This window comes from Homo sapiens, chromosome 8 (genome assembly GCF_000001405.40).
Source record: "Homo sapiens chromosome 8, GRCh38.p14 Primary Assembly".
In the NCBI taxonomy this organism is placed as follows: Eukaryota; Metazoa; Chordata; class Mammalia; order Primates; family Hominidae; genus Homo; species Homo sapiens.
Genome location: NC_000008.11, coordinates 19,202,930 through 19,225,302, shown reverse-complemented (window position 1 = coordinate 19,225,302; position 22,373 = coordinate 19,202,930). Strand labels below are relative to the sequence as shown.

At 40.4% G+C, this 22,373-nt stretch overlaps 1 long non-coding RNA gene across 1 annotated transcript in view, besides 1 other annotated feature; it reads left to right on the top strand.

The window, feature by feature from the left end:
- LOC100128993 (uncharacterized) overlaps nt 1–22,373 on the top strand; it is a 61,849-nt gene that overhangs the window by 20,220 nt on the left and 19,256 nt on the right. The window lies entirely within an intron of this gene.
- Nucleotides 13,758–13,914: a silencer, noted in NCBI's record as "fragment chr8:19068899-19069055 (GRCh37/hg19 assembly coordinates)". NCBI's record gives its function as "represses an EF-1alpha promoter that drives an FKBP-Casp9 reporter gene in an ReSE screen in K562 erythroleukemia cells {active_cell/tissue: K562}" and the evidence as "EXISTENCE:reporter gene assay evidence [ECO:0000049][PMID:32094911]".

The following is a 22,373-nucleotide window of genomic DNA, read 5'->3' as shown; positions in this document are numbered from 1 at the left end:
GGGTTAGCCTTGCCCAAGCTGGGCTAGGGAGTGTCTTGGCTGTGGAGGAACTGAGGTTTTCTGGGGTGAATCTGAGTTGGATCCAACAAGGTTGAGATGAAGACTCAAGTGGGGTATCAGAACCCTGGAGCATTACAATCATAGCAGGGAAGACAGATGTGTGCAGAAAACCCAACGATCAAGGCAAGGAGAGAAGTTGGAAGCCAGAAGTAAAGTTGGTAATAAAAGAGTCAGAAGCAAAATGAGGCAAGTTGAAAGGAAGGAACGGCCCTGAATGACTCTGACTTGGCTTTGCTAACAGAAAGTATGTGCATTACATACTGGGCGGGCTAAGCATAGCCATGGTGGCCTAATAGTGCTACACCAGATTGAGCAAGTCATTCTCCCAATACCGTGGCTGTGCAAACTCTGCCTAAAGTATTTTTTTTTTTTAGGAACCCTCCCTCTATCCGCCAGGCTGGAGTGCAGTGGCACAATCTCGGCTCACTGCAAACTCTGCTTCCTGGGTTCAAACAATTATCATGCCTCAGCCTCCCAAGTAGCTGGGATTACAGGCGAGTGCCATCATGCCCAGCTAATTTTTGTATTTTTAGTAGAGACTAGGTTTTACCATGTTGGCCAGGCTGGTCTCGAACTCCTGACCTCAGGTGATCCACCTGCCTCAGCCTCCCAAAGTGCTGGGATTACAGGTGTGAGCCACTGAGCCAGACCTAAAATCTTATATTATGGGCTAAAAGGTATCTATGAAATCTTCTATTCCAACTCCCTCATTTCACACACAGAGAGAGTGAAGCCCAAGTATTAATTCAAGATTTAATAAATAATAAGGGACAGAGCCGACCACACTCTGTCTCTTTCTCCCTATCCATTAAATAGTCAGCTTTGTCATCAGTATTCACCTTGAAACCTTTATGCCCAACCTCACTGGATCTTTCATCCTTATTTGTGTCTGTCATCATGGGAAGCCCCAGACCCCTGGGTCACCAGTTATCTCCTGTAACTGCTCACCATATAGTTTTGCACATCTCTCTCTCCCCTCATCTTTCATTCTCCCAAACTCCTAAAATCCTTCTACTATGTGCCCCTGGAACTCACAATTCATCATCAGCTGACTTCTCCATATGCTCACAGTGTTCTTCTGAATGCTCCTTTCACTGCTTAACTGAAATCTGCATCTCCTTCGAGGGCTCTGCTTCTCCTGCACCTCTCTCACTTTGTGGGTGGGGAAGGTGTCCTCTGTTGCCCTCATTACTTGTTGCACACTTTCTCTTTTACCCTAAGATCTCCCACTTTTGAAGTCCATGCCGTCATACTGCTTTGAATCCCATACCATCAGACTATGTCACCCACTACCTCTCGTTGCTGAAGTCATCAACCTGGGTCAAGTATATTGTAAGGTAAAATTTCAAGTGCTACCTTGACGTCTCTGAATCTCACAGGGCCCCAAAGGCCTGACCATGAATGACCCTGCTTTCACCAGATATACCCCTCCCACAGTGGGAAAGCTTCCCCATCTCTCTAGTTCCCTTACCAGCCAAACAGCTCCACTCCACCTGTTCAACCTCACAAGTTTCATTTTCCTGATAGCCTGTGAGTGATTCAAATAAGCCAGTTACGTCCTCCCATGAGAACAAAGGGGCACCTCATCCTTCTGTTACTACAAAGCCTGCCTCCCACAGTCTCTACTGGTTCACTCAATTCCTGAGTTGGACCCCTGTGTGGCCCTGTTCTGGAAGGCATGCAGTGTCCAGGGCTGTGAGTATACGTGACTAATAAAGTGCTGCCAATCCCATCTGTCCAATGCTAGGTATCTGGTGTTCAGGTACCTCATACTATTTAAGGCAGGAGAGCCCTCTTTCATCAGTGGAGTGAATGGGAGCTTATCAGAACAGTCAAGCTCCCCAGTTTTTGGATCACTTTTAGCTCCTGAATCACTATCACTCTTTTCAGCACTTTCCCCACATTACTTCTTTTTGATGTCAATATATGCATATGTGATTCTTGCAATATCCTGGTTTGTCAGTACCTTTAGTTACTGATCTTGTCCTCAGCCCTATCTCAGCTGTTCACTTCCATATTGTTACCAACAAATCCAGACCTCCGTGCATCTCACACATCCCATTCTCCAACCTCTACCTCCTATGTTTCCAGTTCAGTCCGTCTAGCACCTTCATTCCAAAATGAAGACCCCCCAGTGAGACCTCCATTCCATTGATTTTATCACCTGTTCTTTTCTTTATTCATTCCCATCTAGTCGTTCCCCCCATTTACCCAATTAAAATTCTATGGCTAGTTGTTACAATCACTCCTTTGCATAAAGCCTCCTCCTCACTTGCATATTCTTCTCTTTATTCGCCTTATTTGTGAAAATCATAAGTCTGGCTGAACACTCGCATTGCTCTGCTCTGCTCCTGCATCTGTGCCGCTGAGCCTGACTCACACATACTCATACTACATGGTCTCACTTTAAATTCATGACCACAATCCTCAAGCAGGCCTTTAATACTGCCGGTCATTATACTATATTTCCCTACTTCACATATTCTCCTACTCTCCTAGGGAACTATTTTGCGCCTTTGCTTCTCTCTTAAAACCTACATTTTTTCCCCTAAGCTGTCTCTCAGTTGATGGCTTTGTTTTCTATCTTACTGGAAAACTGAGGCCATTAGCAGAGACCTTCTGAAATCCTTCTACTCATCTAACCAGTAAGATGTGAACCCACACTCCTTGCTCCAGGAGGTCCCCGTGCTTCTATCTAAGCCTAACACCTGTGCACGTGAAGTAGATCCCATCACCTATCACCACTTAAAGATATTTCCCCAGAAATTATCCTCCTCCTCTCCAATTTCACCACTATTACACTTCTTTACTGAATCCTTCCCAAGAGGAAACAGGCTTTATTTCTCTTGTTTTAAAAAGACAACTCTGAATTGACCTCATTTTTTCCTCACCAGTTCTCTGATTTTCTTTACAAATTTCTCAAAAGAATGATCTTCTCCAATCCTCATCCTATCTCTTCTTGAAGTCTACTGCAATCAGACTTTTATTCATACCACTTCAGCAAACCGCTCTTGAAAATATCAATAATAACCTTGGTATTACTAAACGTAATGATCAGTTCTCAGTCTTACTCAACAATTGGCAGCATTTGGCCCAAGTGATCACTGCATCCTCCTTGATACACTTTCTTCCCTTTACATTTTCTGTACTCTTCTGTTTTCCTTCTACCTCATTGGCTGTTCTTTCTCAGTCTCTTTAGCTGTTTCTTCCCTGACTTCTTTACTACAGGTGCTCCAGGGCGTGGTTCTTATACCTCTTCTTCCTTCCACTTATATTGCTCTCTCTTTGGGTGACACAATCCAGCCTCATATCCTTAAATACCAGTTATATGTTGATAACTCTCAATTTTATACATCCAGCTGGAAACTTTCCCTTGAACTTGAGACTCTTATATCTAGCTACCTACCTGACATCTCACTTGGATGTAGTATTGCTTAGGGTTCAATCAGAAGATCAGAACCACTATGAGTGGTAGGAAATGAGGGAACTATTGCAAGGATTAGAACCTATCTAGGTGTCGGGGGTGCTGGAGAAGTTTATGAAAAGCTATTGGCTTGGCATCTGGTGGTGGACCTGAAGTTGTTGTAGGTCACCTGGACAGGTAGTTGAGAAGGACTGGACCTGAAGTGGAAGAAAGCAGGATAAACTGGAACCCACAACGATAAATGATAAATTGGAACAACATCTGTCTCCCTCTGCATCAATCTTCAACAACATGGATGACCTGTCAAACTCACTGGGGACATTCTAACCTCAGAGCTTTCATAAGGCTGTTCTATCTGCCTGGATCTCATTGCCTCAGCTGCTAACAAAACTTTGTCCTTCACCTAATTCAGGTCTTTGCTTAAATAGCACCTCAGTAAAACCTACTCTGACTACTCCATTTAAAATTAAAATTTCCCTATTCCCCCTGCCCCAGCTAGCCCTATTTCCATTCTTTCTGTAGCGATTACTACATTTTAAGATAGCTTTACCTATTATTAAGTTTATGTCTGCTTCCTCCAACTAGAAATGTAAGCCCAACAAGGGCAGGGGTTTTGAAGATTTTGTTTCACTGATGTGTTTCAGGTGCCAGACCCTGGCAGAGTAGATGCTCAATAAATACTTGTATGAACTGAGCGTTATCGGTCTATGCCTCCCCATTAAGTTGGAGAAGGGAGATATTGAAAAAGTTAAGTTGTACATTTCTTTATTTATTGGAAGCAACTCTTACTTCATCATTCCAGGGAATTTCTGTAAGGAAGATAACCCTCTCCATTGTTTAAAGCCTTTGGTCATAGCATGTCTTCTTTTTACCTAACTAAATTTTAGCTGCAAATTTTTCATTCTTTTTAGTCAACCTGGGGGCAGATATGTATTGTAAATCTGAAGAGATTTGTTGGACCACTTTCTCAGCCCTTGAAGTGCTGTGTTCTGGATTTGTTTAACCTAATTTACGGTTTCTAGAGTTTCTAGCCCTTGAGAAAGGTTGTAAAGAAGGGAAAGGAAGTCACTTGCAGGAGAAATATGACACTGTTTTCTGTGTCTGTAACAGAGAGGTTGGAGGGAAGAGAACAACTGCAATTTATTGGAACAAGAGCTTCCTAGAAAATGAGACCAGCAAGTGCTAATGATCCCTAGCAATAGTTGCAAATCTCAGAGACAGTATCTGATATGGTTCGGCTCTGTGTCCCCACCCATATCTCCTCTCAAATTGTAATCCCCATAATCTCCATGTGTCAACCTGGTGGGAGGTGATTGGATCATGGGGGTGGTTTCCTCCATACTGTTCTTGTGATAGTGAGTTCTCATGAGATCTGATGATTTTATAAGTGTTTAACAGTTCCTCCTTCACATGCTGTCTTGCCTGCCACCATGTAAGTTGTGCCTGCTTCCCTTCCACTATGATTGTAAGTTTCCTGAGGTCTCCTCAGTTATGCGGAACTGTGAGTCACTTAAACCTCTTTTCTTTATAAATTACCCAGTCTCTAGTAGTATCTTTATAGCAATTTGAAAACGGAGTAATATAGTATCCTTTGTCAGTGGAAGGCAGAAAGAGGTCAGGCTTATTCAGGAGAGTTTGTAGCTGAAATCAAATGTTATTAAAGCCACTTAAATATATCATATGACTATCACATGGCATGTTGCATCACATTATACTCTAGTGACTTATGTTACTGTTCCTTTCACTAGACCAAACACTGCTCCAAAGCTGGATGAGATGTTTTTCCTCTTACCGTCCCCAAGCCTGGCCAAGTACAGGCACCTGGAGGCAACTCAGCAAGGACCTATTGGGTGAACAGCAAATAAATAAAGTATCTCCTTGATTAGCATTAGGCAAGAATTATTCATTATCATGCAATATGAGTCATTCAACTGGGGCAAGGAAAGATGCTGGAAAGGGAAAGTAGTATTTTTTTAGGGTCTATTGTGTTATTCATGTAAAATAGCTTGCATGGTACCTTTTGCATGCCTGGAACTCTTTACATGGTGGCTGTTTTTATGTTCTTATTAATTTTTGCTAACTTCAGGAGGTGGATATCATATCACCTTTTTGACAAGTAAGGAAACTAGGGCTCAGAGAAAGGATGTATCCTTTAGGGCCACTTAACCAGGGAGCATCAGAGACAGAATTCAACCCCAAGGTCACATAATTTCCCCAATCCTATTGTTCATCTGTGGTCTCCTGGAGGGACCATGCAGAGCACATGGCAGATGTGTATGTGGATACGTGAAATATATATTATACATACATGTAGGCAATATCCACTATAGACACGGAAAGGAAATGCAAAAACTCATCTCTGGTACCTTTTCACTTCTTATGACCCAACTGCTGGGTCCTTTGCCTTACTTCTGGACACCTGGTGTCTCATCCTTTTCTGAGGTCCTGACCCTCAGCAATCATTCCATTATTCAACTTCTCTGAGCTTCAATTTTCTCATCTGGAAAATGGAAATTATTATATTCCCTCACAGATTCATTGCAAAGACTAAGTAAGAATAAAAAGCTAACATTTATTGACTGCTAGTTATATTCCAGATGCTATTCCAAGCATTTATAAGGACTAATGTATGTAATTTTCACAACCCTGTGAGTAGCTATAATTACTGTCATCATAGTCACTTAATGAGTGAGGAAGCTGAATGCCAGAGGTTAAGTGACTCTCCAAGGCCACTTAGCCAACAGAGCAAAGATTTGAACCTGGGCAATCTGGCCCCATGGGTCATCATACCATTTCATCTTTGCCATATTAATTAAAAACATATTCTGTCTCTTAAAGATAACCTCTAAGATAATAATAAAAATAGCTACCATTTACTAAATGTCAATTTATGCCAAACACGGTGCTCGCTACCCGACACTGGTCTCCCAGTAGGTCTCCAGCTTCTCACAGCATTATTATAAGTGTTAAATGACATGAAAAGTACCCACATATAATAGGAGATTAATATATACTAGGTCTAATTTCCACCCAGAGATAACCAGTATTAATATATTTATATAGAAACTTCTATAAGTTTTTCTATACCTATTTACAAATAAGTGAAAACAGATTATTTTGTGTGTTCTAGTTTTTTTTACTTCCCAAAATATCATGAATGTTTTTCCATGTCAATATTCATCAACAACATGCATTCTCAATGGGTTTCATATCATCCCCAAGTTGGAAAAAATGGGTTCTTTGGGGTGAAAAAACTTAGATATTACAATGATCTGTGACTCCTCCAAAGGGCCATAGTACGTAACAGATATATATTTGTGGTCTTAAAATTTCATGGGGAAGAAGGGGTTGGTGGGTGACAATTAGGGAAAAAAAGAGTCTGAAAAGGCTCGGATGTGGTTTGGCTGTGTCCTCACCCAAATTTATCTTGAATTGTAGCTCCCATAATTCCCATATGTTATGGGAGGGGCCTGGTAGGAGGTAATTGAATCATAGGGGTGGGTCTTTCCTGTCCTGACTCCTGACAGTGAGTAAGTCTCACAAGGTCTGATGGTTTTATAAAGGGGAGTTGCCCTGCACAAGCTGTCTTTGCTTGCTGCCTTGTAAGATGTGACTTTGCTCCTCATTTGTCTTCCACCATGATTGTGAGGCCTCCCCAGCCATGTGGAACTGTGAGTCCATTAAACCTCTTACCTTTATAAATTACCCAGTCTCTGGTATGTCTTTATTAGCAGCGTGAGAACAGACTAAACCAGGCTCTTTAGAGAGACAATAATTTAAAAATTTTGAAAAACACTGATCAACAACATCATTTTACATAACAGGACAGCATTCCTTTGGGATGAATGCACCATGATTTATTTATCTGACATTCTGTTATTGAAAATTGAGGATGATTCCAATTTATAGCACTATAAACAATACTTCAATAAACATCCTTACAGTAAATATTTTTTTGCATCTTTTCAATTATTTTGTTAAGAGCAATTGCCAGAAAAGGAACTGAAGGTTGACGGATATTTCAAGGCTTTCAATATGTAGTCAGGCCTCTAATTCAGGCATTTTTCAGAGAAATTTTCAATTCTAGTTATACCTATAACTAGAGAAAAGAGAAGACATTTTTTCATACTACCAAGGTTAATAAATTCACTACTAGTGTGAGATTGTACTTTAAAACGTCACTACAAACAACTGTTTCTCAAAATGCTTTTCTCTGGAATGTTCTGAAATATATCATTACTTAAAATATTACATTGTCAGTAAGAACTTCCTTTCTCACATAACCTGATGGTGATATATTTGTGCATTTTTGTTATGTAACCAGAGCCTTCAATAAACTGACTCAAAATGATTCAAGCTGAAAACAACTTGATTCTTTCCACCCACTGTATCCTTCAAACTTACTGTTTCTTCCCAGAAACTTGCAGACTCAGACGGGTACTGTAGCTTTTCCAGGCCCTCTTATTTTTCAAGAACAAAAAGTCTTCTAAAAATACTAGTTTCCAGGAGAGTCTCATGTCAGTAATTCATTGTCCAATCTAGTGAGACAATCAAATCTGAAGCCTCATTCAAAGGGGAAGCTTCACCAAGATTGTGCCACTGCACTCCAGCCTGGGTGACAGAGCAAGACTCTGACTCAAAAAAAAGGGGGTGTCTGGGAGTTGGGAGAAAAGTTTCTTATTCTCCTGAGCCTGCTTCATCTGGAAAGCCTACAATGGGGTGGCTTCCTGTTAGTAGGGTACCAGGATTTTGATTTACTCGGGTATGATAAGATGTGCAGATGCAGAAATGACTGTCAGGCAAGAGGAACTGTTTACTCACAGTTCCCCCAAAGCAGGAGACAGGGCAGGCCATGCCAGGAAGTACCAGGGTTGGTCTGAAGGCAGAGGGAGCGAAGGGAAAATGTGAGCAAGCACCTTTGTTCTAGTTTCTGTGGAAATGGGCAAGGCAGGGTGGGCAGGCTTGGGCTGACTGGTTTGAGCAATTTCTGAAGGCTCTGGGGTGATGAGAGCTGTCTCTAGTTTTCTGGGCCCAGGAGCTGGCGCGATTAGGGCAACGGGCTAGTGGCTCAGAGTGTGAAAGTCTGATAGAGGAGGTGATAGGCTGAGGGCTTTGGATTGGTTGGTTTGCACATGAAAGGCACGTTCCCAGGTGAGTCATTTGCTATCTTTTGTTTGTTTGTTTGTTTATTTGTTTTTGAGACATAGTCTGGCTCTGTCACCTAGGCGGGAGTGCAGTGGAGAGATCATGGCTCACTGCAGCCTTGACCTCCTGGGCTGAAGTGATCCTCCCATCTCAGCTTCTCGGGTAGCTGGGAATACAGGCTTGTGTCGCCATGCCCAGCTAATTTTTGTATTTTTTGTAGAGATGGGGTTTCATCATGTTGCCCAGGCTGGTCTCAAACCCCTTGGCCTCCCACAGTGCTGTGATGACAGATGACAGGCATGAGCCACCGCACCCAGCCTCATTTACTATTTTTAGGAATTGGCTAACCCTGGAAGGGGCAGTCAGCAAGACCCCTGGTGTCAAAGCGTCAGAAATCTAGATGAATGCAGTTCTGTTCTCTGTTCCCATATTGCTCTCCTGCTTGATCCCTGCCCAGACCCCTGACTCCCCCCAACCCTAGATAACTCATCCCTTTGGCCCCAGGAAGGGGAGCTGAGGCACAGCACAGCTCCTGGTGGCTCAGCCCCAGGCTCATCTATGCGAGCGCTCTCTGAGTGTGGTGGATCCCCACAACCCACTCCTTTTCTGGGAGATAAGGAGGCTTTTATGAGTTCGTAAGGAATCCCCTCTGGGTACCTCTGGCTGAATTCCTGCCAAATGAGGTAGATCTTGACTTTCCTGGCTGGCCAGTTTCAACCTCTTTTAACCTTGAGTCCCTTTGACTAAGGAATACCTCCAGTCCTTTCTGTGGGGGGCAGTTAGGCTTGCCCTGGATGAAGGCCTTTGAAAACCATCCTCCTTTGTAAATGACCACGTCCAGCTGTGGGCTGCCCCCTTGGCCCAATGGAAGAATGTGCTCCTGAGCCTGCCACTGGTGGAACGTGCTGTACACCAAGCACCACATCAGGCTGACCTGGCCTCGCCGTTGCGGCCCACCCCTTATGCTTGTGCCAAGCTCTCCACCTGGTTCTGATGCAGGGCAGGAGAGCCCCAAACTTGGGGCTTAGCTTGGGAGGGTTCACCCAGGAAAGAATTCAAGGGTGAGCCAGTGGTGTTAGACAGCAAATTTTATTGAAGCGGCAGTGTGCAGCAGCAGCAGAGGTCCTGCTCCTTGCAAAGCAGGGCTGCCCCATGGGCAGTTTCTCCAGGGTAGCAGCTCAGAGGCGGTTCTGCAGTTATACTTATACCCACTTTCAATTATATGTAAATTAAGGGGTGGATTATGCAGAAATTTCTCCAAAAAGGGTAGTAACTTCCAGGTCATCAGGTTGTTGCCATGGAAAGGGATCCTAACTTCCAGGTGTTGCCATGGCAATGGTAAACTGACATGGCATACTGGTAGGAGTGTCATGGAAAGTACTTCTGTCCCCTCTCTGTTTTAGCTAGTCCTCAATTTGGTCCGGTGTCTGAGCCCCACCTCCGGAGTCAAATCCCACCTCCGGAGTCAAATCCCACCTCCTGCCTCAGCTCTACTGCAGCCTCCTTCCCACGGTGGTGGGGGTGAACCTCCCCTCCCCTCTCCCGCATGTGGGACAAAGGTGGGAGGGGAAGACCCCGCACATCACAACATGGTCCAAAGAAATCCTCACTCTCTCTTCCTCTTTGCATTCAGTCCTTTTACGGCTCCGGTTGGCTGAAGGGTTAAGCTTTGTAAAATCTGCTTCTGGCTCTTACATGCCTTGTGTAGGTGCTCTTTGGAATTTAACAGTGCCTGGAACCCCTTATTTCTCAGTCTTTGAGGCAATACTGAAACAAAACAGGTCACATCCTGATACCCTGTGAAAATTAAAAATAAAAACCACTAAAGAGAAAGGGAAACAGCCATTAAATATGATGAAATGTGCTGAGACTCCACACGCTTTCAGAGGAAAACCACATTTACCATCTAAAAGGCGAGTCAAACACTAATTTTTCAATAATCAAATTACAGCAGCAGTTATGCCTCATTGGCTCAGTAATTCAATGCCACACCTACGTTCACAAGTCAGCTTAGAGAGCTCTTCTTTATAAAAAGTATATAACTCAATATTTTTATTATTGGTTACTACTTCAATCAAGGAGAGAGTTTGGTGTTATTTTTAACATGATGGAATAAAATAATCGGAAATTATATCCAATGGTGATGCTTTGGGCCTTGGCAATATTAAATATCAAATGATAAAATTCGGGTTTTCAAAATGTCTTTCAAGTCCCAATTTTCTTTAGATAAATTTAATTGGTCAGTTGTTCTTAAAAGGAACACTGTTTTGACCCACAGAATAATTTCTGTCCAATGACTTCTTTGACATTTCCACTCAGAGCCAAGCTACAACAACTGATGGAGAACTGAGAATCATAGTTCCATTTTTATTCCCAGAGTGTGTTTGCTTTTGATAGTATGGTTTTTTTAATTATTGATTATCTTCACTTGTAGCGACTAGATTTTTTAAAACCTAGAACAATTAAAATCTCGTAGTTAAGTAATTGTTGGCTATAAATGCAGGCACTGTGTCTCGTTGCAAATTAGAGTGTGAGGAGGCAGCCAGGTAACTTGAAATTACAAATGATTTGTATTAAATTAAACATCTCTTGAGTTCCAGAATTAATTTCCAAAACTTAAACTGTTTTTTATCTGCGATTCCTGAGTTTCTTTTTGAGTTACATTCAGTAGGAAATCGGATTTTTTTTAACTTCATGAGCAAGGATCGAAATCAGTCCCAGTTATCTATTGTTGCGTAATGACCCCCAAGTGGTATTTCAAAGCCATGACTATCATGCAGTATTCCTCTTGGTTTTTGTGAGCAGGACTTTGGAAATGGCTCAATGGAGTATTTCTGCCTCACCTCCGCTCTCGAGGTTGCAGTGTGATGGTGGCTGCCGTGGGATCAGCGGTGTGCTGATGCATGCAGGCATGGGTGAGGCATCTCTCTCTTGGTGTGGTCTCTCTTCCTGATTAGTTTCTGTTTCCTCACAAGCAGGGCAACCTCAGCTTCTTACACAGTGGTTCAGAGCTCCAGAGGCTACTTCTTCTCAATCTAAAGACTTGCGAGCTAAAGATACAATTTATCTGCTCTCCACATGCAACCTACGATAGGGAGGACAGCATAGGATAGCTGCTATGGATGCCGCCATTCCAAAAGGCAGTCAGCCAGGTGTGGTGGTTCACGTCTGTAATCCAAGCACTTTGGAAGGCAGGAGGATCGCTTGAGGCAAGGAGTTTGAGACCAGCCTGGGCAACATAGTGAGACCACATCTCTACAGAAAATTTAAAAATTAGCCAGATGTGGTGGCATGTTTAGGTAGTCCTAGCGACATGGGAGGATGAGGTCTGCAGAAGTCTCTGGGCCCAAAGGTCTCATTTTATTTTATAATGTTTCCATCCTTTTCTGTCCCAGTTGATGTTTCTGCTAGCACAAGTTGCCTAAAAACTAATAAGCCGTACTGGGATATTCAGTATGGAAATGCATAAAAGTCCTGACATATATGAAAAGGAGCTTACCTTTGCTCGAAGTAAGCGAAAGACACATTACAGTTTACTAAGAGAGTCTGTGGGAGGTTCTAGACATCTGATAATTTTCTGTTTCTTCATCAGTGTGCTGGTTACCAGGTGTGTTTGGTTTGTGAAGTTTCCATCTGTATATATATGTACACTTTTCTATATGGATATTATGTCAGTAAGAAGTTAAAAAAGCAAACTACACTGAGATACCATATCTCTGCTTATCAGAGAGTCAGACGTTCCAAAGTTAGATAACATATCCTCTAAAGGAGGCAGTGGGAAAACAGGAACTCAAATATCCAATTTGCACATCCCCATACAGTGGTATTTTGCAGTATCTAGCAAAATTATATGTACATTCACACTTTGGCCCAGCAGCCCCACTTCTAGAAATCTCTCCCAGACACATGGGCAAAATTATGAAATGACCACATGGCCAATGTTAGTCATTGCTGTACTATTTGAAATAGCAAAGGACTGTAAACAACCCAAATGTCTATCAATAACAGTCTGATGACTATAACTTTCACAAAAAGGATTATTATGTAGCTGTAAGAGGAAAGAGAAAGGTCCCTGTACACTGCCATAGAGTTATCTCTCCTGTATATTGCGAAGTTTAAAAATGTGAGCTGTGGAATCGTGTTAAAAGAGAAAGCAAGTGAAACTCAGATGAGTTAATTCACAGTTTCAAAAATAAACAAATGAAGAATAAATAAAACCAATAAAAAATGGTTACCAAAGGGAGGGGAGGGAACAGGATAGAGAGGACAAAGGTGAATCTTGGTTTATAATCTTCAGAAGTATGAAAACAGTGACCGTAACGTTTGTCATCCTAACTGGGACACTTCTGAGTGTGAAAGGAGTGATGTTAATAATTATTCCAGGACAGCAGGTGTCAACTGGACGGGCCTGGGCCAGCCAGGACCTGTGACTACCCTAGGTTGGATGTTATTAAGGAATTACTCATAATTTTGTTGGACGTAGTAGTATCAGTTATAGAGGCATAATGGAGTTTTCACAGATGACATGACATAATATATGGAATTTGCTTTCAAACTTTGCTTCTCAAATTTGTGCATGCATCAGAATCACTTGGAGAGCCCATTAAAACACAGAATACCAAGTCACACACCCAGAGGTTCCGATTCAGGAGGTCTGTAGTGGAAATGAGGGTTTGCATTTCCAAAGGGTTCCTGCTGCTGCTGATGTTGCTGGGTTTCAGACTGACCTTGAGTAGCACTATTTGAAAACACTGCACTTCAGCTCTATGTGTGTATGCCCCCATATAAAACTACACATATGTATATATGTACACAGACATACATGGACACATATGGTCGGCTCTCTGCCTCCATCTGTGTGTGTGTGTGTGTGCACACGCGTGTGCACGTGTATTTAAACAAGGGAATAGCTACAATGAAATTGGCAAGGCATTGATCAACTTTGAATTTGAGTGGTGAGTACAGTCAGCCCTCTGTTGCTGCAGGTTCCACATCTGCAGATTCAACCAACAGCAGATGGGAAATATTCAGAAAAATTAAAAAATAACAATATAACAACAAAAATAATACAAATAAAAATACAGTGTAAGAACTATTTACATTATATTGGTGTTACAAGTAATCTGGGAGATGATTTAAAGTATACAGGCATTCACAAGTTACATGCTAATACTATGCTATTTCTTTTTTTTTTTTTTTTTTTTTCTTTTTTTCTTTTTTTGAGACGGAGTCTCGCTCTGTCGCCCAGGCCGGACTGCGGACTGCAGTGGCGCAATCTCGGCTCACTGCAAGCTCCGCTTCCCGGGTTCACGCCATTCTCCTGCCTCAGCCTCCCGAGTAGCTGGGACTACAGGCGCCCGCCACCACGCCCGGCTAATTTTTTGTATTTTTAGTAGAGACGGGGTTTCACCTTGTTAGCCAGGATGGTCTCGATCTCCTGACCTCATGATCCACCCGCCTCGGCCTCCCAAAGTGCTGGGATTACAACTATGCTATTTCTTATGAGGGACTTGAGCATTCCTGGATTTTGGTGTCCATGGTCTGTCCTGGAGCCGCTCCTCCCCCTAACACTGGGGAGCAGCTGTACATGAAATTATTTTACTATTCTCTTCACATTTATGTTTATTTGTAATTTTCCTTAATAATAAGTTTGTTTTGCTTTATTTTTTCAATTCAGGAGGTTGAGGTCCAACTCAAATGAGACCTCATATATTCCCTTAATCCCTTTGGTTAGAACAAACAGAGTAAGTTTTCTTTATTTCCATAAGAATCATATTTATACTTCCACTGCAGTGAAAGCCAATAAAAATGAAACATAAAAAATTACCCTAAATATTATTATCCATGATCCAAATTTAATGATTATACATACACCATTATGACCCAATGCGATGAAAAATCTACAGAATGTGATCAGAGAGTGAATCTATACTTTAAAATAGATGTTGAAATTTGAAAATTAATATGCAAAAACTTTTCACCTCCAATTTCTTATTTAATGTAGAAGGAGCTCTTTTAATTGTTCCCTGGGTACCACTATGCCTCTGTTATGACTTTCCTGAAGTTACATTCTCTTCCCTATTCTGGGAAGTATTTCTCTTTGTAGACCTCTTCTTCCCTCCTCTTCTTCCTCACAATTTTTTTTTTTTAATTTTTAGAGACAGACTCTCACTCTGTTGCCCAGGCTGGAGCTCAGTGGTGCAATCATGGCTCACTGCAGCTTCAACCTCCTGGGCTCAAGGGATCCTCCTGCCTCAGCTTCCCAAGTAGCTATGACCACAGGTGCATACCACCACACCTGGCTAATTGAAAGAAAACTTTTTTTAGAGACAGGGTCTCGCTGTGTTGCCTACGCTGGTCTCAAACACCTAGCCTCAAGAAATCCTCCTGCCCTAGTCTCCACAGTGCCTGGGTTTACAAGCATGCACCACTACAACCAGCTTATTTTTATTTTTATTTTGTAGAAAGAGTATTGTTATGTTCCCCAAGGTAGAAATGGCCTCAAGCGATCCTCCCACCTTGGCCTCCCAAGGTGCTGGGATTATAGGTGTCAGCCCCATGCCAAGCCTCCTTCTCTTTTATTGATTCATCCCCTTTGTAGGTGCTTTATCTTTTACACCATCTTCTCTGCCTTTCTAAATATATATTTTATTACATTTGTGAGTCAGGTTTTACATCATCTGTTCTTAGTTTATGAAGTGATTGGACTATTTTATATTTCTTCTCTTGAAATTAATTTGAATTTATGTAAAGCTTTTAGATGGTCTTTTTAAATACTGGGGTATGATCAGTAGATTTTTACACAAAAAAATATCCCCACCATCAACATGACAGACCGCATATTTGGGCTTCTGTACAGTTTCTTGTTTCTTACATGTAGTCCTGGTGATAGCTTGTCCTTTGCTAGAAACATCAACTTGTTTGCTAAACCATGCAATTCCCACTTACAATCAGTTGCATTCCTCGTTCCCCACATCCTGAAGACTGTATAACTCAGCACGGTATGGTAAAATGTGGCACTACTTTACAATTGTTACAGAAATTTGTATTTTGTGACAGTTACAAAAGAGTGGACCATGACTCACAGTTTTTACTGGAGCCTTACGTCAGGGAAATTTATGAATAATAGGAACGAAGCAACATTTTGACAGATGAAACCTCAACAGAAGCTTCTCAAGTTCAAGAGATCTATGTAGGAAATGAAAGCAAACATAAAGTTCCTCTACAGTTTCCGTCTCATGTTCAGCTTTGCAGTTTGTTCTTTTCCAATATACATTCATATGTCTGAAGTTTTAATGTGAAATTTTTGGTTAATAGTAATCCCTATGCACATTTAAACAAGGAGTTTAATATATTTACAATATTGACTTTCACATGACTTCTCTGAAAAAGAAAGCCACATCCCACAGGTTTCTTAGGCAGAAAATACAGGCCAACTATTAGAGTAATCAATCATTATCTGCTTAATCACTCCTAAAATGATAATAGCAGCAGCTAACATTTCTATACTACTTGCTTTCTCATAGACACTTTCCTAAGTGTTTTATATTACATGTAATTTAATTGACATTAATCATGTAACTTTCACAACTATCTTTGAGGCAGAGACTCTAAATAATGATCAGAGATAAAAATTAAATAAATTTGGAGACAAATAAACTTGCCTTAATATGCTCATGTGTAAAATGGGTATTTCAGCCAATTTGATGGTGAGACAATAATGGAAGGCATAACAAAATATCTTAAATTTTTTTTGTAAAGAATTTTTTTTTTCAATATCGTTATTTTTATTTTTTGAATGAGGAAACTAAAGCTTGCTATGGTTATATAACTCACCGTAAAGCTCCAAGTGGCAGAGATAGGTGCTTGGATTCTGATTCATTAATTATTTGGCCACCGCCATATTTATGAATCTACATGTGCTTTTTTAACAGCACATGTCATCAAAAGCTAAGATCACAAGATTTCCTGCCCATTAAAATTTCAGGGTGGATGTATTTCCTAAACTGGTTTTTCTTAACCTTCTGTTTGTTCTCTCTTTTTCTCTCTCTCTGTCTTTCTCTCTTTCCTTCTCTCTTTCTTTCTTTTCTTTCCTTCTTTCTTTCTTTCTTTCTCTCTCTCTCTTTCTCTCTTTCTTTCTTTCTTTTCTTTCCTTCTTCCTTTCTTTCTTTCTTTCCTTCTTTCTTTCCTTCTTTTCTTTCTCTCTTCTCTTCTCTTCTCTTCTCTTCTCTTCTCTTCTCTTCTCTTCTCTTCTCTTCTCTTCTCTTCTCTTCTCTTCTCTTCTCTTCTCTTTTCTTTTCTTTTCTTTTCTTTTCTGACCGAGTCTAGCTCTGTAGCCCAGGCTGGAATGTAGTAGCGCGATCTCTGCTCACTGTAAGCTCCGCCTTCTGGGTTCACGCCATTCTCCTGCCTCAGCCTGCCGAGTAGCTGGGACTACAGGCACCCACCACCATGCCTGGCTAATTTTTTGTATTTTTAGTAGAGACGGGGTTTCACTGTGTTTCTTTTCTTTTTTATTTTAAGTTCCGGGGTACACGCGCAGAACACGTGGGTTTGCATAGACAGGTAAGCGTGTTACATGGGTAAACGTGTGCCATGGTGGTTTGCTGCACCTATCAACCCACCACCTAAGTATTAAGCGTAGCATGCATTAGCTATTTTTCCTGATGCTCTCCCTCCCCCTACGATAGGCCCCAGTGTGTGTTGTTCCCCTTCTCATATCCATGCGTTCTCGTTGTTCAGCTCCCACTTATGAGTGAGAACATGCGGTGTTTGGTTTTCCATTCCTGCGTTATCTAAACAGATATTTTAAGAAACTACGGTATTGCTTGGCTAAAAACACATTTTGGGTGTGACACGATTTCAAAATATTCAGGAATAAATGGTTTCACCCATTTAAGAAGTCTCTTAGGGCTAAAAGTTACGAAGATAAGCAAACAAGTTATTTGATGCAATATAAAAATTGAAGTTAGAGAAAGCATTCAAAGGAAGTAACTGAATTGCAACTCTTTCATGGTAGAACAAAAGGAAGACATGGGAAAATATAGTGCGTGCCACGGTTTTTATCCTTTTTCTTTTTTTCTGCTAGCCATAAGGAAGAGAGCACTTAAAGTCTTGGAGCACAGAGGAAGAAAAGCAGCTTTCTCCTAGAGCAGAAGATTCAGGGAATTCAAATTCCTGGGTTAATTAGAAGATAGAGAAAGAGGAAGTCCTAGTAATTAGAGTAAGGAGGTAATTAAAGGTCAGACAGCGAAAGCAAGCCAGGTTATTTTGTATATATGATGTATATATGTATAATGTTTCCTGTCAAGTCAGATTGTTTTGTATATATAATGTATATGTCTGAGATAATTTCTGATCTTTAGGCTTAGTGAGTCTTTTCTTAAAAGTCAGAAATATTAAACATGAATTCCACCAAAATATAACCTGGGTATTTGAGTTTCTTCAAAGCTTGCTCTATATCAGATTATTGGTTATGATTTCATATAACAATGCTTTCTTTTTTAAAAAATAATTACAAACTTTCTTTTAGATTCAGGGGGTACATGTGCTTTGTACCATGTACCCCCGGTAACAAACCTGGGTATATCGCGTGATACTGAGGTTTGGAGTACAACTAATACTGTCGGCTAGGTACTAAGCATATTATCCAATAATTAGTTATTCAGTCATTGCCATGCTCCTCCCCTCCCCTATCTAGTAGTTCCCAGTGTCTATTGTTGTCATCTTTATGTCCGTGAGTACCATTGTTTAGTTCCCACTTATAAGTGAGAACATGCAGTACTTGGTTTTGTGTTCCTGCATTAATTTGCTTAGGATAATCAGCTGCATCCATGTTGCTACAAAGGACATGATTTCGTTCCTTTTTATGGCTACATAGTATTCCATGGTGTATACATACCACATCTTCTATATCCAATCCACCACTGATGGGGGTGTAAGTTGATTCCAAGTCTTTGCTGCTGTGAATAGTGCTCCAATGAACATATGAGTGTATGTGTCTTTTTGGTAGAATGATTTATTTTCTTTTGGATATATCTATAACATCCAGTAATAAGATTGTGGGGTCTAATGGCAGTTCTGTTTTAAGTTCTTTGAGACACCTACAAACTGCTTTCCACAGTGGTTAAACTAATTTACACCCACCATGAGTGCATAAACATTCCCTTTTCTCTGTAGCCTCACTAGCATCTGTTGTTTTTTGACTTTTTAATGCTAGCCATTCTGACTGGTATGAGATGGTATCTCATTGTGGTTTTGATTTGCATTTCTCTGATGATTAGTGATGTTGAGCATTTTTTCATATGTTTGTTGGCTGCTTGTATGTCTTCTTTTGAGAAATGTCTGTTCATATGTTTTGCCCGTTTTTTAATGTTATATGTTTTTCACTTGTTCAATTTACTGATAGATTCTGAATATTAGACCTCTGCCAGATCCATAATCTGTGAATATTTTCTTTCATTCTGTAGGTTGTTTACTTTGTTTATAGTTTATGTTGCTGTGCAGAGGCTCTTTAGTGTAATTAGGTCTGATTTGTCAATTTTTGTTTTTGTTGCAATTGCTTTTGAGGACTTAGTAATAAATTCTTTCCCAAGGCTGATGTTCAGAATGGTTTTTCTTAGATTTCTAGATTTTCTTCTATAGTTCTTACAGTTTTAGGTCTAAAATTTAAATCTTTAATCCATCTTGAGTTAATTTTTGTGTGTGGTGAAACTTAGGGGTCCAGTTTCAGTCTTCTGCATCTGGCTAGCCAGCTATCCCAGCACCATTTATTGAATAGTGAGACCTTTTCCCATTGCTTATTTTTGTTGACTTCATAGGAGTTCAGATGGCTATAGGTGTGTGGCTTTATTTCTGGGTTCTCTATTGTGTTCCATTGGTCTATGTGTTTGATTTTGTACTAGTGCCATGCCATGCTGTTTTAGTCAATGTAGCTTAATAGGATAAAGTTGGACAGTGTGGTGCCTCCAGCCTTGTTCTTTTTGCTTAGGATGGCTTTGGCAGTTCAGGCTCTGTTTTGGTTGTGTGTGAATTTTAGAATAGTTTTTTCTTAGTTCTGTGAAAAATGATATTGTTAGCTTGATAGGAATAGCATTGAATCTGTAGATTGCTTTGGGTACTATGACCATTTTAACAATACTGATTCTTCCTATCCATGAGCATGGAATATTTTTCCATTTGTTTGTGTCATCTATAATTTCTTTCGGCAGTGTTCTGTAGTTCCTTGTAGAGATCTTTCACTTTATTGATTTGATGTATTCCTAGGTATTTTATTTTATTTTCTTGCAGCTATTGTAAATGGGACTCCATTCTTGGCTCTCAGATTGAACATTATTAATGTATAGAAATGCTAAGATTTTTGTACATTGATTTTGTGTTCTGAAATATTACTGAAGCCATTTATCAGTTTCAGGAGCCTTTTGGCAGAGTCTTTTGGGTTTTCTAGGTATAGAATCATGTTATCAGCAAAGAGAGTTTGACTTCTTTTCCTGTTTGGATACATTTTCTTTCTTTCTCTTGCCTGATTCCTTTGGCGATGACTTCCAGTATTACGTTGAATGAGAGTAGTGAGAGTGGGCATCCTTGTCTTGTCAAAGTTCTCAAGGAGAATGCTTCCAGTTTTTACTCATTCAGCATGATGTCCGCTATGGGCTTGTCATAGTGGCTCTTATTATATTGAGGTATGTTCCTTTGATGCCAAGTTTCCTGAAAAAAACCTTATCATGAAGGGATGTTGAATTTTTATCAAAAGCTTTTTCCTCACCTATGGAGAGGATCATATAGTTTTTGTTTTTAATTCTGTTTATGTGTTGAATCACATTTATTGATTTTGAACCAAAGTTGCATCTGAGGAATAAAGCCTGACTCTTTGATGTGCTGCTGGATTTGGTTTAGTAGCATTTTGTTGAGGACTTGCATCTTTGTTCATCAGAGATAGTAACACGCAGTTTTCTTTTTTGTGTCTTTGCCAGGTTTTGGCATCAGAGTGATGCTGGCTTCATAGAATGAGATGGAAGTTTTCAACTGTTTGCTTTGTAGTTCCTATTGCATGGTTGCTTTATAGGATCTGTGGGCTACGTACTTAAGGGTGTTTTTGTGGTAACAGGTATCATTCTTTCATTTCTATGTTTAGACCTCCCTTAAGGATGTCTTGTAAGGTTGGTCTAGTGGTAACAAATTTCCTTAGCGCTTGCTTCAGTGGAAAAAATTATTTGTCCTTTGCTTATGAAGCTTGGTTTGGTGGGATGTGAGACTCTTGCTTGGAATTTCTTTTCTTTATGAATGCTGAAAATAGTCTCCCAGTCTCTCCTGGCTTGTAAGGTTTCTGCTGAGAAGTCCACTAGTAGCCTGGTAGGCCCTTGTATGTGATCAGACCTTTTTCTGTAGGTGTCTTTACAATTTTTTTCTTTAGTGTTGACCTTGGACAGTCTGACGAGTGTATGCTGTGGTAATGTTCATTTTGTATAATATCTTGTAGGTGTTCTCTAGATTTCTTGTATCTGGATGTCTACCTGTCTAGCAAGATTAGGGAAATTTTCTTGAATTATCCCCTCAAGTATGTTTTCTAGGTTGTTCTCTTTGCCTCCATCTCTCTCAGGAATGCCAATAATCCATTCATTTGGTCGCTTTATATACTCCCATTAAAATTTTTTTTCCTTTTCTTTTTTTTTCTTTTTTAGATGTTTATCTCTTCCTTCATTTCCTGGATTGCTTTAGAAGTTTCTTTGTGTTGATTTTCAACCTTCTCTTGGATCTTGTTAAACTTCCTTGCAGTCCGCTCTGAATTCTTTATCTGTCATTTCTGAGTTTCCATTTTGGTTACAGACCATTACTGGGGAGCTAGTGCCATCCTTTGGTGGTGGTGCCACATTCAGATTTTTCATGGTGCCAGAATTCTTGCACTGGTTCCTTCTCATCTGGAGATGCTGGCATTTCTAGTCTTTGCAATTATTTTCATGCAAGTACCATTTTTTTGTTTTTTTATTTCCCTGTATATATTTTCTTCTTTTCCTTTCTTTTACCTCCCTGTGTAGGGAATGTGACTGTAGTGAATGCTGGACAGGGTCTTCTGGTTTTGCTTCTGTAGTCCTATGCACTTCTGTTGACAGGATTTATATTTAGCCAATGCTTTCATATAATCATAATTTCATGGTTATGATTTTCTTGAGTTAATATATCGTTAGTAAAGAATAATTGGCTAAATTTTGATTAGGTGTTTGACTCCTTAGCTGGAGAGTATACATAGTTCACTTGTGTATCCAATCTTCAAAGCATCACTCTTTTGGAAACATAAACTGTTTTGGATTAATATTTGTTTATTTAAACATTTTGGAGTATCACCCATTTTTGGCCAACAATTTTATGAAGAATTGTTACACATGTTGGGTCAGTGTAAGCTAAATATTTTTCCTTTTCTAATAAAACTCTAGTTTCTTAGAACTTACTGTTTTCTAAACTTGGGAAGCAACCAGGAAGCAGTCTGTGTTACCTGGTGCTCTGCTGAGACTTGTTTATTTTCTTCAGCTCCCTATTTCATTTGGCATTGTTTTTCTCTTGCCTTGACAGGTGCTGACAACTAGAGCTGAGGAAGCGATATAAATGCAGCATTTGGGGTAACACTCTGCTTCCCCCTTTTGTGCCAAACAGGCAAGTCAGGGACACCTGAGGTTATGAAGGCATCTCTCCACAGTTCTGCCTGAGAATCCAAGAATGAAAGTAATAGTTACCTTGTCTTGGGCTGCTG